The following is a 14103-nucleotide window of genomic DNA, read 5'->3' on the forward strand; positions in this document are numbered from 1 at the left end:
CAAAGAGCTTCTGCACAGCAAAAGAAACCACCATCAGAGCGAACAGGCAACCTACAGAATGGGAGAAAATTTTTGCAACCTACCCATCTGACAAAGGGCTAATATCTAGAATCTACAAAGAACTTAAACAAATTTACAAGAAAAAATCAAACAACCCCATCAAACCCCAACAAAAAGTGGGCAAAGGATATGAACAGACACTTCTCAAAAGAAGACATTTATGCAGCCAATGGACACATGAAAAAATGCTCATCATCACTGGCCATCAGAGAAATGCAAATCAAAACCACAATGAGATTCCATCTCACACCAGTTAGGATGGCAATCATTAAAAAGTCAGGAAACAACAGGTGCTGGAGAGGATGTGGAGAAATAGGAACACTTTTACACTGTTGGTGGGACTGTAAACTAGTTCAACCATTGTGGAAGACAGTGTGGCGATTCCTCAAGGATCTAGAACTAGAAATACCATTTGACCCAGCCATCCCATTACTGGGTATATACCCAAAGGATTATAAATCATGCTGCTATAAAGACACATGCACACGTATGTTTATTGTGGCACTATTCACAATAGCAAAGACTTGGAACCAACCCAAATGTGCCTTCTATATGTAAGGCACATGTCCATCAATGATAGACTGAATTTAACAAACGTGGCACATATACACCATGGAATACTATGCAGCCATAAAAAAGGATGAGTTCATGTCCTTTGTAGGGACATGGATGAAGCTGGGAACCATCATTCTGAACAAACTATCACAAGGACAGAAAACCAAACACTGCACGTTCTCACTCATAGGTGGGAATTGAACAATGAGAACATTTGGACACAGGGTGGGGAACATCACACACCGGGGCCTGTCGCGGGGTGGGGTGATAGGGGAGGGATAGCATTAGGAGAAATACCTAATGTAAATGAGGAGTTAATGGGTGCAGCACACCAACATGGCACATGTATACATATGTAACAAACCTGCACGTTGTGCACAGGTACCCTAGAACTTAAAGTATAATGATTAAAAAAAAAAATCTTAAAAAAAAAAGAGGCCGGGCGCGGTGGCTCAAGCCTGTAATCCCAGCACTTTGGGAGGTCAAGACAGGCGGATCACGAGGTCAGGAGATCGAGACCATCCTGGCTAACACGGTGAAACCCGGTCTCTACTAAAAATACAAAAAAAAAAAAAAAAATTAGCCAGGCATAGTGGCAGGCGCCTGTAGTCCCAGCTACTCAGGAGGCTGAGGCTGGAGAATGGTGTGAACCCAGGAGGCGGAGCTTGCAGTGAGCCGAGATCACGCCACTGCACTCCAGCCTGGGCGACTGAGTGAGACTCCATCTCTAAAAAAAAAAAAAAAAAAACAGAAATTAACGTCTTGGGGTCACGTGTTTACTTCTCATGTGACAGGCAACGAAAAGAGAGTAGGACACCTGAATGTGCTTTGTACTAAGGAGTGGTATTAAGAACTCGGAAACTGACCGTTGAAGGTTCTCGGGAGCTGAACCTGAGGCCTCCTATATGTAAGGCACACGTTCTATCACTGAACTACATCTCCTCATGCCAAGAGATATTTGTGTCGTCCTCCAAGTACTATTGCAGTATATGAAAACAATAAAAATATGGAAATAAAAAATAACTTAAAAATTAAAAAGGTGGCCGGGCACGGTAGCTCACGCTTGTAATCGCAGCAGTTTGGAAGTTGGAGGCGGTCAGATCATTTAAGGTCAGAAGTTCGAGGCCAGCCGAGCCAACAAGGTGAAACCCTGTCTCTACTAAAAATACAAAAATTAGCCGGGCGTGATGGCACGTGCCTGTAACCCCAGCTGCTCAGAGGTTGAGGCAGGAGAATCTCTTGAACCTGGGAGGTGGAGGCTGCAGTGAGCGGAGATGGCGCCACTGCACTCCAGCCTTGGGGACAGAGTGAGACTCTGTCTCAAAAAACAAACAAACAAAAACCCAAAAACCCTAAAAAGGTATTTCTCCAATCTAAAGATGTAAAAAATTAAATAAAATGAAAAATAAAGGAATATCTCGTTATATTCTGTGGGTCTCCATTCCTGTGTTCATTGTTTTAGCACTAAGTGTTGGGTTTAGAAGCAGGATTTGTGACCATTTTAAGTTGGAAGACCCCCAGCTGTGGGGGATATTGAAGTTTTGGCAAATAAAGCTTGAAATGGAACGCAGAATACTGGAAACTTGCGTTAGAAAACTGACCAGCTTTTTCCTGAATAAAGCACTTCTGCTATTGCTGTTTGCTTCACAGGAATGGTAAGAGCAAAACTTTGATGAGAAAACCCCAGGTGAGAATGAAAACCACATGCAACCTGTTATTCATTGCCAAGGGGTTCTTGATTGTACTACAGCATGAAGGCAACTGAGGAGGTTCATGGAGTAGCCCAGAATAATGTTCAAGACATGAAATAAATAGCAGATTCAAGGATGGAGAAAAACTTTGAAATTTTGAAAGCACATTCATAGGTAGCTAGACACAGGATTCAAAGACTTATTGGATTTATAGAGCAAGCCAGAAAGTGGGGAATCCATAAAAGAGAGCCTCAACAAACAGGAGGAAAAAAAGCAGAATAGAGATGCTTATTGTTCTTTGAAGGAATGGACAAGATATTAGGAGGAGGAGGTGAGTTTGTTTGGGAACGTGTTGAACTTACCATATTCTTCCGTAGGATCCTGCCCATTGGTGAAACACAGTGAACTTAGCCCAGTGCTCTGATCTGAATACGTGGAGGTGGGAGTGAGTAGAAGGCACCAATACAGTGTGAGTACAATGAGAACTCAAAGTGTCCTTTGAGATATGAAGATCAGAAACTTACTTACTGATAGTTGTGAAAAGCAAAAAAATGAACTTCTTCCTAGCTGATCTTCAACCCTGGAATTCACACTGGTTGTCACCATGGCCTTGAAACTTTCACAAAAGACCCAGAAAGTCTCATTTCCTGGCTAGTTTCCCAGTAGGTGTTATCTTTTCTCATTCATCTTCATTCTCATTCTCCTTATGTATGACTTTACCTATATTGGTAAGCATATTGCTGAGCCCCTTTCGAGGTTGGGAACACCTTATGGTTTGGCAGAATTTCTCTCTGTTGGCTCATAGGGATAGCGGAATAGGTAAGAGGAAACATAATGGCAGGTTTCACTGAAATTGGGTATTTAAGTGTCACCCACAAAACTCTACAAGCTCTGGTGTGTGTGTGTTTGTGCGCGCGCGCGCGCGTGAAAGTGCTGGGAGGATGTGAGAAAAATTATCTAGGCTGTTTTGGCCGGGCGCGGTGGCTCATGGCTGTAATCCCAACACTTTGGGAGGCCGAGGCGGGCGGATCACGAGGTCAGGAGACCGAGACCATCCTGGCTAACACGGTGAAACCCCGTCTCTACTTAAAAAAAAAAACAAAAAACAAAAAATTAGCCAGGTGTAGTGGAGGGCGCCTGTAGTCCCAGCTACTCGGGAGGCTGAGGCAGGAGAATGGCGTGAACCCAGGAGGCGGTGCTTGCAGTGAGCCGAGATCGCGCTACTGCACTCCAGCCTGGGCGACAGAGCAAGACTCTGTCTCAAAAAAAAAAAAAAAAAGAAAGAAAGAAAGAAAGAAAGAAAATTATCTAGACTGTTTGATGGTGTGAAAGTTGTTTCCAGAGTCATCATGTAATTATTCTCTAACTTGCACCTGAAGAAACCAAGATACCAGTTAGATTACCAGAAGTTCCCCACAAGGAGGTGTTTCTTTTTTTTTTTTTTTCTGTTTGCCCCAAAGTACAGAGAACACTGTGAGAATTGTTTAAGTTTCTGTAAGCATTCAGAAATATCTATGCATGGGGAGACATAGGATGAGTTCCAAATATATGAGATTTTTCTGATGAACCAACCATTTATCTCAGGAGATAGAACTCATTCATACTCAATTACTCTGCTCAGGGAGCCTGCAGACATGCGAATGACATCTCTAGACAATCTACAACCAGAGAGAAGATTGTAACTGGTTGAGTACTGTTTTCTTAAAGTTGACAAAAAGGTGGAGTAATAGTTTTCATGTAAGGAGCTCTTATATGATAATCTAGAAATTGAATTCACTCTATATTCTTTGGGATTTACATCTTGATTTGTTGACAGGGAGAGGGAGGTTTGATTACACTGTTGTAAGTCTCCCACCTTGATTGAATATTAAAAAAGAATTCCTGAACTAGACAGTAAAGGGTTAAATAATCTTTTTTCTTCAATTAAATATGTCTTTGAAAAGAATAAAACTCTACCTTTTGAGTCAGATTGACTACATGGCCTGATGGATTGTGTCTGCTTCCATATCACTGTGCAGCCAATGGTCCTGCCCACCTGCCGCTTCCCACACATTCACCCAGGGTCTCACGCATGGCCACGTCCTCATTCCTCTCAGAAGTCCTTAATTTTTTTTTTTTTTTTTTGAGATGGAGTCTCATTGTGTCACCCAGGCTGGAGTGCAGTGGCATGATCTTGGCTCACTGCAACCTCCGCCTCCGAGGTTCAAGCAATTCTCCTGCCTCAGCCTCCCAAGTAGCAGTGATTACAGGTGGTCGCCACCATGCCCAGCTGATTTTTGAAAGAGGTCCTTAATTTCTCTGTGGAGAAAAATTTTTTTAAAATATGATCTCATTGAAGTATACAACCCCAAAATAAAATATAGTTGAATTTCCAAAATTCATCTACAATGTACCTTAAAATGATTCACTATTGTCCTAGGCCAAAGATAGGCACTGTTTGCTCTCAAAGAAGTACTTCTATCTGTCATATGTCATTTGTTTTCATTGTCCCAAGATGTTTTTGAAATCTCCATCCTATATTTTCTATAGCTTTCTTATATTAAACTCTTGGTTTTTGCATCCTATCCATTTCTACCCTAAATTACAGAGGTGGACTTCCTTAAAGAAGTCTATTGTGGGGAGCAGAAAAAAATATTTCCATTTGGGCCTGAGCCCTAGCATAAAGCAATGGTAATAATTCATGATAATTTTCCTCATGCTTTTACTATATTCCTTTGCAAATTGATTCCCATGATTGAAGCCTGTGAATAATTTTTTTCTGCCACAGTGAGTATAAGTGGCAAAGAGACATTGTGGAACTGTACTTTGAAAATGAGAGAAGAGAGAGAAAAAATGTCAACAGAACAGAAAATTATCTATTTCCCACATCAAGAAAGTCTGGGTCCTCAGTACTAACTCTGAATCTTTCTTTAAAGAAGTAAACTGAAACCCAAGACATCTTAATCTGAGAAAGAATGACTTTTGGAACTTATTTTCTCCATTGAAAATTTCCTAATCACTTCACAGGGACAGAGGTGGCCTGATATTATATCGGAAACCAAGGATTTCCCAATTCTTGAGATATCCTTCAGCTCACACTTTCATTAGGGTTAGCAAAGGGTTTTGGATCTTTAAAATCTATCACAGGGCTTAGAATACAAAGTGGTGTTAATACAAAAGTTCTTGAAGATTTGGTGGTAGCTGATGAGAAGAGGGCTGTGTATTCTGGAATGATTACAAGGTCTTATTCTATTTAAAATGTTTCAGAGCAAGGATACAAACTTCCCAGTTTACATTAGAAGTTAGCACAGCCTTTATTGCAAAACTTGCGAAAAAGAAAATAAAGGCCGGGAGTGGTGGCTCATGCCTGTAATCCCAGCACTTTGCGAGGCGGGCGGATCATGAGGTCAGGAGTTCGAGACCAGCCTGGCCAATATGGTGAAACCCCGTCCCTAAAAAAAATATAAAAAATTAGCCGGGCGCGGTGGCGCGCGCTTGTTGTCCCAGTTACTCGGGATGCTGAGGCAGGAGAATCGCTTGAACCCGGGAGGCGGAGGTTGCAGTGAGTCGAGATCGCGCCACTGCACTCCAACCTGGACGACAGAGTGAGACTCCGTCTCAAGAAAAAAAAAAAAGAAAATGAAAACTTCACATCATATTCAATCATGAATAGTGATTCAAAAAATATTACTAAGTACAATATTGCCAGAGAGGCAAGGAACAGAGTCAATGATTAGAACACAAAAATGATTCAGCAATAGAAATATATATTTTTTGCAATTATGTTTTCTGTTAGAATAGAAAATTGGGGGAAAAAACACAGCCGCGTATTTATACTATACACCCTTACTCCATCCACGTCAAAGCACGTCATATTGCTTCTTAAATGTGCAAAAGAATCTCTTGTGGATCTTGTTAAATTGCTACTTCTGGTTCAGTACGTCTGAGGTGAAGCTGAGATTTCGCTCTTCTAACAAGCTCTCCGGTGCCACCAACTCTTGTGTGGACCAAGAGTCTGAAAGATATCCTTACGATAGAGGGCGCACCTGTCTTAGGTAAAATTACTTCTGTAACGTCATCTAAGGGAAGTCAAATTATCCGGCAGGAGTGAAGACAGAATAAAACTGGAAATCAGTCCGTGAACTTTGAGATCTTCAGCAGAGCATGCTTCCCAGTGGAGCTATTTCGGCAGAAGTGTGACGCCTCTACATTCATTGATGAAAATAACTTTCTCAATTTCCCAGTTTGGAAGGCTTTGCGTTTGTCAGGGCTCAGCCTGCGATGGATCATGGCTAAACAAGGACCAGAAAAAAAATAAAGGAAATCGGCTGGGAGCGGTGGTGGCTTACTCCTGTAATCCCAGCACTGTGGGAGGCCGAGGCGGGAGGATCACGAGGTCAGGAGATCGCGACCATCCTGGCTAACACGGTGAAACCCTGTCTCTACCAAAAAAATAGAAAAAATTAGCCGGGCGTGGTGACGGGCGCCTGTAGTCCCGGCTACTCGGGAGGCTGAGGCAGAAGAATGGCGTAAACCCGGGAGGCGGAGCTTGCAGTGAGCCAAGATCGTGCCACTGGGCGACAGAGCGAGAGACTCCGTCTCAAAAAAAAAAAAGTAATAAAGAAAATTGAGAGCTTACGTTTTTCTTTTATTAAATATTTCCACATTTATCTTTTATTTCCTACTTTTTAAATAACAATACTCCAAAGGTTAATGAGCTCGTCAATTTGGCGACGCCATTGAAGTTTTGGAATCCGGAGCCGTCTTTGTCTTCCAGCTCCATCTTTTCCACCTTTTGCTTAGGCAGTCCCCCGAGTCGTGTCAAGGCTGAGGAGTAGAAATGGAACAGCACTAATATTAATGGCAAAACCGTTGTGAAATAGGGTTACTTTCTGTTTAAGCAAGGAAAATAAAGTAAAGCAATGGGAAAAAAATTAAAAGCAAAAGGAATGGAGGTGCCGGGGATTGAACCCGGGGCCTCGTGCATGCTAAGCACGCGCTCTACCACTGAGCTACACCCCCGTACTGAAACGGTTCTCTCGAGAGTATATTCAAGATCAGAATCTGACCCTTTTGCTAGGTTTCAGAACCATTAGTTGTAATCAGCCAAGGTCTATTTTATTTAGTTATTTCTGATATCTCAAATTTAGGTTTTGCGTCCCTCTTTGCTGACAGCTGAGCAAACCGCATTCTACACCGAAGGCCCTCTATTGATGGCCCTGGGATTTTTCTGCTCGTCAGTCCGGAGTCACTTACCGGGCACCACTAGAAGAACCCGGGATGAAACATTTTCTCCCGTGTCTTGACTCTCTCCTTTCTTTCACCGCTGCTTTAAAGGGCTGCCAGAAAGCCACAAAGTACAAAGCGAGGCATTTAGAGACCATAGTAGATGCAGGTGGCGAGGGAAGACAGGTGGAGAAACGCAGACGGGTTCGTGTCGGTGCAGCCACTGCTTTGGACCCGAGCCTCCGTCCCGCCGGGGGCCGGGGTGCTGAGCCCAGCGAGGCGCGGACTGGGGAGCGAGGAAGAGGAGCACCCGCCAGATCGCGCCCCCTTTCGGGCAGAATCCGCTCCCGGTCCGGTCCCGATTGGCAGAAAACGATACGAGGGCGGTATACACTCAACACGCGCATGAACGATTCATCAAGCCCTCCGTGTGCCGGGTCTGGCTCACCAACCTCATCCTCTGAGCTCCGGGCTTCTGCCTCCCAGCCCAAGGAACCCACAGGGTCTCAGCCAACACTGGGAGAGTAGCTTAAATGGGCAGAAAGACAAGATAAGGGGATGTGGTGAATAACAGAATTATCCAATCCTATTATCAGCCCATCTGAGATTAAAGGGACGTCAATCATACTTGAATACTTTATTTAAAAAAAACAGTTTGCAGAGGGTCGCATACAAGAAGAATAAAGTGGTTTTTTTTTTTTCATAAAAATGTGGATTCAGGAGCATTACCGGAAATAATCAAGGAACGAGGAAGAGTGTGGCGAGAGAGTTCGGGTCCGGTATACCTCTCTCTCCGCACCACATTCTTTTGTAGTACCTGTGAAACATTCATGAAAACGGACCACAGAAGAAAACCTCAGTAAGTTCCAAAGTATAGAAATAACACAAACATCATTCTCTGACCATCATGCAATAAAACTAGAAATTGATAAAATAAAAAATAAAAGTCACTTCCACCTGAAAATTTTAAAGCATGCTATAATACAACTCGAGTCAAGAAGGAAATACAAATTTTAATTACATAATTTCTTGAAAGGGACAAAAGTGCAAATGTGACATAGAATCTGTGAGATAGAGCTAAAGCATTTATCAGAAGGAAATTTATTTCCTCACATACCTATATCGATAACAAAAAATAACAAATGAATCAAACACAGCTCAAGATGCTACTAAATGAACAACAAAATAAACCAAAAGAATGAGGAAGGAAGGGTTGTAAGGACAAATTCAGAGAATGAGTTAGAAACAAAGTATAACTAATAAAGATACAAAAAAGGTGGATATTTGAAAGTCAACAAAATAGACAAACCTCTAGCCAACAAAGAGAAAATTAGTGCAAATACACAAAATTAGAACTGGAGGAAATAATCATCAACACAGAAGACCTTTTTTGAAATCATCAGAGATAACATAACACAACTAGCAAATAACTGGCAAACTTAGTGGATTTTTTAGACAAATGTAGCATACTCAAACTAACCCTTGTAGAGACAGAAAGTCTAAACAGACCAGTTAAGAAAAATAGTTTAACAGGCATACTCAATAAAAAGGGCACCAAGCTCAAATACTTTCATAAAGAAATCCTACCAAACTGTCAAATATCAAAAAATCATGATGCTACTTAAATTATTCGAAGCATAGACACTAGCACTTTATAAAGTTAGTATAACATTTCAGTTTGCACTAAAAATGAAAACTACAGGTCAATTTCACATATGAAATATATGAAATGTAATGCCTAAATCTTAAATAAAATTTATAGCAAACAGAATACAATAGCACATTTAAAACAGTAATACAGGATGTCCAAGTAGGGTTTATTCCAGGAGTGTAAAGATCACTCATTATTAGGAAAGATATTAATATAATCCATTGTAATTGGAACTGGAGGTCATTATGTTAAATAAAGTAAGCGAGAAACAGAAAGACAAATTTCACATCTTTTCAGTCATATGTGGGAGTTTAAAAAGTTGATCTCATGGAGGTAGAGAGTAGAATCATAGATACCAGGGTCAGGGAAGGGTGTGTGCATTGGAGCTGCGTACAAAGGCAGGTTGGTCAATGTGTACAAACATATAATTAGATAGAAGGTATAGGTTCTTTTTTTTTTTTTTTTTTTTGAGTTGGAGTCTGGCTGTCTTGCCCAGGCTGGAGTGCAGTGGCACCATCCCAGCTCACTGCAACCTCCACCTCCCAGGTTCAAGTGATTCTCCTGCCTCAGTCTCCTGAGCAGCTGGGATTACAGGTGCCTGCCACCACAGCCAGCCTCTAATGTTGATAGTAGAGTAGGGTGACTATAGTTAGCAACAATGTATTGTATATTTCAAAGTAGCTATAAGAGATAACCTGAAACCAACACATAGAAATGATAAATACTCAAAGTGATGGATACCCCAAATACCCTGACTTTACTCATAATAAGTGAAAGACATACTAAATTAGATTGGATAGCATACTTTGTTGTCAAGGTTGCCGAGAAATTAGTCTTTTCATAGAGTACTGGTGGGAATGGAAAATGGTATAATTCCAAGGGCAGAAAATTTGCAGTATCTAGAAAAAATGTATAATTATTTACCCTTTAACCCACAAATTCCACTTCTAAAAAGCTATCCCTAATATATACTATCAAAATAAAAAGGGCCAGGCACAGTGGCTTACGCCTGTAATCTCAACACTTTGGAAGGCCAAGGCCGGCAAATCACTTGAGGCCAAAAGTTTGAGACCAGCCTGGTCAACACAGTGAAACCCTGCCTCTACTAAAAATACAAAAAGTAGTCAGGTGTAGTGGCGGGCACTTGTAATTGCAGCTCCTCAAGAGGCTGAGGCAGGAGAATTGCTTGAATCCCAGGAGGCAGAGGTTGCAGTGAGCCAAGATGTCACCACAGCACTCCAGCCTGGGTGAGAGAGCAAAACTCCATCTCAAATAATAATAATAATAATAAATACTAAATAAATAAAAAGGAAAACAGATGCATGACTATTCATCACAACTCTATTTGTAAAGCAAAAGAAGGAAACAATCCAGGCCGGGTGCGGTGGCTCATGCCTGTAATCCCAGCACTTTGGGAGGCTGAGGCAGGTGGATCACCAGGTCAGGAGATTGAGACCATCCTGGCTAACATGATGAAACCCCGTCTCTATTAAAATACAAAAAATTAGCTGGGTGTGGCGGCACGTGCCTGTAGCCCCAGCTACTAGGGAGGCTGGGGCCAAGATCATGCCACTGCACTCTAGCCTGGGAGACAGAGCGAGACTCCATCTCAAAAAAAAAAAAACAAAAAAAAGGAAACAATCCAAATGTCTGACAAAAGGGTCAATTTGAGAAAACTATGGTACATCAATATAATGTCACTGTAAAAAGGAATACTAAATGATCAGCTTCAATCTCTCCTTCCCCTATGAAGAAGGGCATATATGTATTTGAACTTCACTGGGACACTGGGTAATCACTCTCCTACAATTACCCCATGCTTATGTATGTTAAATAAATTTTGTATGTCTTTTTCTTTTATTAATCTGCCTTTGTCACTTCATTTTCAGCAAATTTCAGTGGGCAGAGAGGAAGCTTTTCCGCCACCCCTACATAGTTAATACTCTACCTTGAGCATGGCACACAGAGAATACTAAGGTGCTAATAGCTCTTACTGCGGCTTGTGAGGCAGTGGCTTCAAAACAGGAAATACAAGCCAAGAGGATTTCAGACTACTGCACTTCATCCACTGAGTGTTCAGCATCTAGAACTTTTCTTCCACAAAGAGAAACATGCAATTGTTACCACCTCTAGCTCCAGAGTCCTAGCTCAGAGATTTTTCCTATAGAAAGAAATGAGCCAGCCGGGCATGGTGGCTCATGTCTGTAATCCCAGCACTTTGGGAGGCCAAGGCGGGCAGATCACCTGAGGTCAGGAGTTTGAGACCAGCCTGGCCAACATGGCGAAAACCCATCTCTACTAAAAATACAAAAAAAATAGCTGGGCCTGGTGGTGTGTGCCTATAATTCCAGCTACTATGGAGGCTGAGGAAGGAGAATCGCTTGAACCCAGGAGGTGGAGGTTGCAGTGAGCTGAGATTGTACCACTGCACTCCAGCCTGGGCGACAGAGCAAGACTCCATCTCAAAAAAAAAAAAAAAAAAAAGAAGAAGAAGAAATAAATGAGCCAAAAAGTAGATAGCTTCCAATCCTTTCCCAAAATAACTGATTTAATTTGTAACATAGAATAGAGAAGTGGAAAGCTAAGGGCATTCTCAAGAATGGTGGAGATTTTGATGAAAGGTAATTGGGAGGAAATTTGTGAATCTAAGAAAGATAGATCTTAAACTGCAGTCTGGCTAGTATGCAGGAGAGAATCAGGAAATAAGACAGGTAGGAGGAACCCTTTTGGAGTCAGGACAAATATCAAATACTTACATCAGAAACTATTCCATTTAAGGAGCTACATTTTGATTGGATTTGTTCATAGAGGAATTTATACCTCAAGGCATTGTTGAAAACAATACAACAACTGGTCAGCAATAACTGAAACACAACAGTAGGGTGTGGTCAGAAAAAGAGTGAAAAAGAACATTGCCAGCACCACTGTCATCCCAGGGTGACTGGGGGCATACCAAAAACTGCATCACCACGAAGACTAATGTCAGAGGATTAGCACTCTTGGGAGTGAAATATCCAGGGTTATATAATACTCCATGTTAATAAAATGAATGGCAATAATCAAATATCATCTCAATTGAGATACAGAAAGGATTCAACAAAATTCAACACACTTTTATGAAAAAAGCACTCAGCGGCCAGGCGCGATGGCTCACGCCTGTAATCCCAGCACTTTGGGAGGCCGAGGCGGGCGGATCACGAGTTCAGGAGATCGAGACCATCGTGGCTAACACGGTGAAACCCCGTCTCTACTAAAAAAAATGAAAAAAATTAGCCGGGCATGGTGGCAGACGCCTGTAGTCCCAGCTACTCGGGAGACTGAGGCAGGAGAATGGCGTGAACCCGGGAGGCAGACTTTGCAGTGAGCAGAGATGGCGCCACTGCACTGCAGCCTGGTCAAGGGAGCAAAACTCCGACTCAAAAAAAGAAAAAAGAAAAGAAAAAAGAAAAAAGTACTCAGCAAACTAGGAATAGAATGAAACTACCTCAACTTAATAAAAGCCATACATGAAAAGCCCACAGGTAATATATTCAGTGGCCTTAGCTTTTCCTCTAAGATCTAGAACAAGGCAAGGATGCTTACTCTCACCACTACTGTTCAACATAGCACTAGAAGTCCTACTCAGAGCAATTAGACAAGAAAAAAAGCCCCAGTGCGCTGGCTACAGCCTGTAATCCCAGCACTTTGGGAGGCCGAGAGGGTGCACTGCTTGAGCCCAGGTGTTCAAGACCAGCCTAGGCAACATGGTGAAACCCCATAACCATAAAAATCTACAAAAACTAGCCGGGCATGATGGCATGCACCTGTAATCCCAGCTACTTGGGAGGCTGAGGCAGGGTTCACTTGAACCCGGGAGGTGGAGGTTGCAATGAGCCGAGATCACACCATTGTACTCCAGCATGGGGACAAAGCCAGACCCCGTCTTGAAAGAAAAGAAAAGGAAGGAAAGAACGAAAGAAAGAAACAAAAGTCATCCAAACTGGAAAAGAAAACTAAAATTATCTGTTTACAGATGACATGATCTTATATGTGGAAACCCTGAAGACCTTCCCACACACACACAAAAAAACCTGTTACAACTAATAAACAACTTTAGAAAAGTAGCAGGGTATAAAATGAACACACAAAAATCAGTTGCATTTCTACAAACTAGCAATGACCAACCTGAAAAGAAAATTAAGAAAACAATCCCATTTACTATAGCACCAAAAAGAATAAAATATTTAGGCATAAACTGAACCAAGGAGGTAAAAGACTTGTGCGGGAAAAACTACAAAACATTGCTAAAAGAAATCAGACAAGATACAAATAAATGGAAAGGCATCCTGTGCTTGTGGAGTGGAAGACTTTAATACTGTGAATAAGTACATATTATCCAACGTGATCTACAGATTCAATGGCATTCTTATCAAAAACTCAATGGCAATTTTGCAGAAATAGGAAAATATAGAAAAAAATCATCCTAAGACTCATATGGAATCTCCAGGGAACCTGAACAGCCAAAACAATCTTGAAAAAGAACAAAGCTGTAGAACTCATTCTTCCTGATTTTGAACCATACTAGAAAGCAACGCTAATGAAGATGGTTGTAGGGGCCAGGCGCAGTGGCTCATGCCTGTAATCCCAGCACTTTGGGAGACCAAGGTGGGTGGATGACGAGGTCAGGAGTTCAAGGCCAGCCTGGCCAGCATGGTAAAACCCCGTCTCTACTAAAAATACAAAAGATTAGCTGGGCATGGTGGCACGTGCCTATAGTCCCAGCTACTTGGGAGGCTGAGGCAGGAGAATTGCTTGAACCCGGCAGGCAGAGGTTGCAGTGAGCTGAGATCATGCCAATGCACCCTAGCCTGGGTGACAGGTGACAGAGCAAGACTCTGTCTCAAACAAAAAAGATGGTTGTATTACTGACATAAAGACAGGTATACAGACTAATGGAACAGA

The 14103-nt window shown here is 42.0% G+C and overlaps 1 long non-coding RNA gene and 1 other non-coding gene across 2 annotated transcripts, besides 2 other annotated features; both read right to left on the reverse strand.

Moving 5' to 3' along the window:
- LOC124901296 (uncharacterized) lies at nucleotides 6033-7815 on the reverse strand. The gene is made up of 2 exons (XR_007059539.1): nucleotides 7542-7815; nucleotides 6033-7112 (listed from the first exon to the last, which is right to left on the reverse strand). It is a non-coding gene; the product is annotated as an uncharacterized LOC124901296 (long non-coding RNA).
- Nucleotides 6112-7103: an enhancer, noted in NCBI's record as "H3K27ac hESC enhancer chr6:28805097-28806088 (GRCh37/hg19 assembly coordinates)". NCBI's record gives its function as "activates a minimal SCP1, AML or CMV promoter by ChIP-STARR-seq in primed H9 embryonic stem cells {active_cell/tissue: H9 hESC(primed)}" and the evidence as "EXISTENCE:reporter gene assay evidence [ECO:0000049][PMID:30033119]".
- Nucleotides 7104-8095: an enhancer, noted in NCBI's record as "H3K27ac hESC enhancer chr6:28806089-28807080 (GRCh37/hg19 assembly coordinates)". NCBI's record gives its function as "activates a minimal SCP1, AML or CMV promoter by ChIP-STARR-seq in naive and primed H9 embryonic stem cells {active_cell/tissue: H9 hESC(naive and primed)}" and the evidence as "EXISTENCE:reporter gene assay evidence [ECO:0000049][PMID:30033119]".
- TRA-AGC2-1 (tRNA-Ala (anticodon AGC) 2-1) lies at nucleotides 7236-7307 on the reverse strand. Its single transcript has one exon. It is a non-coding gene; the product is annotated as a tRNA-Ala (tRNA).

Source organism: Homo sapiens, chromosome 6 (assembly GCF_000001405.40).
Source record: "Homo sapiens chromosome 6, GRCh38.p14 Primary Assembly".
In the NCBI taxonomy this organism is placed as follows: Eukaryota; Metazoa; Chordata; class Mammalia; order Primates; family Hominidae; genus Homo; species Homo sapiens.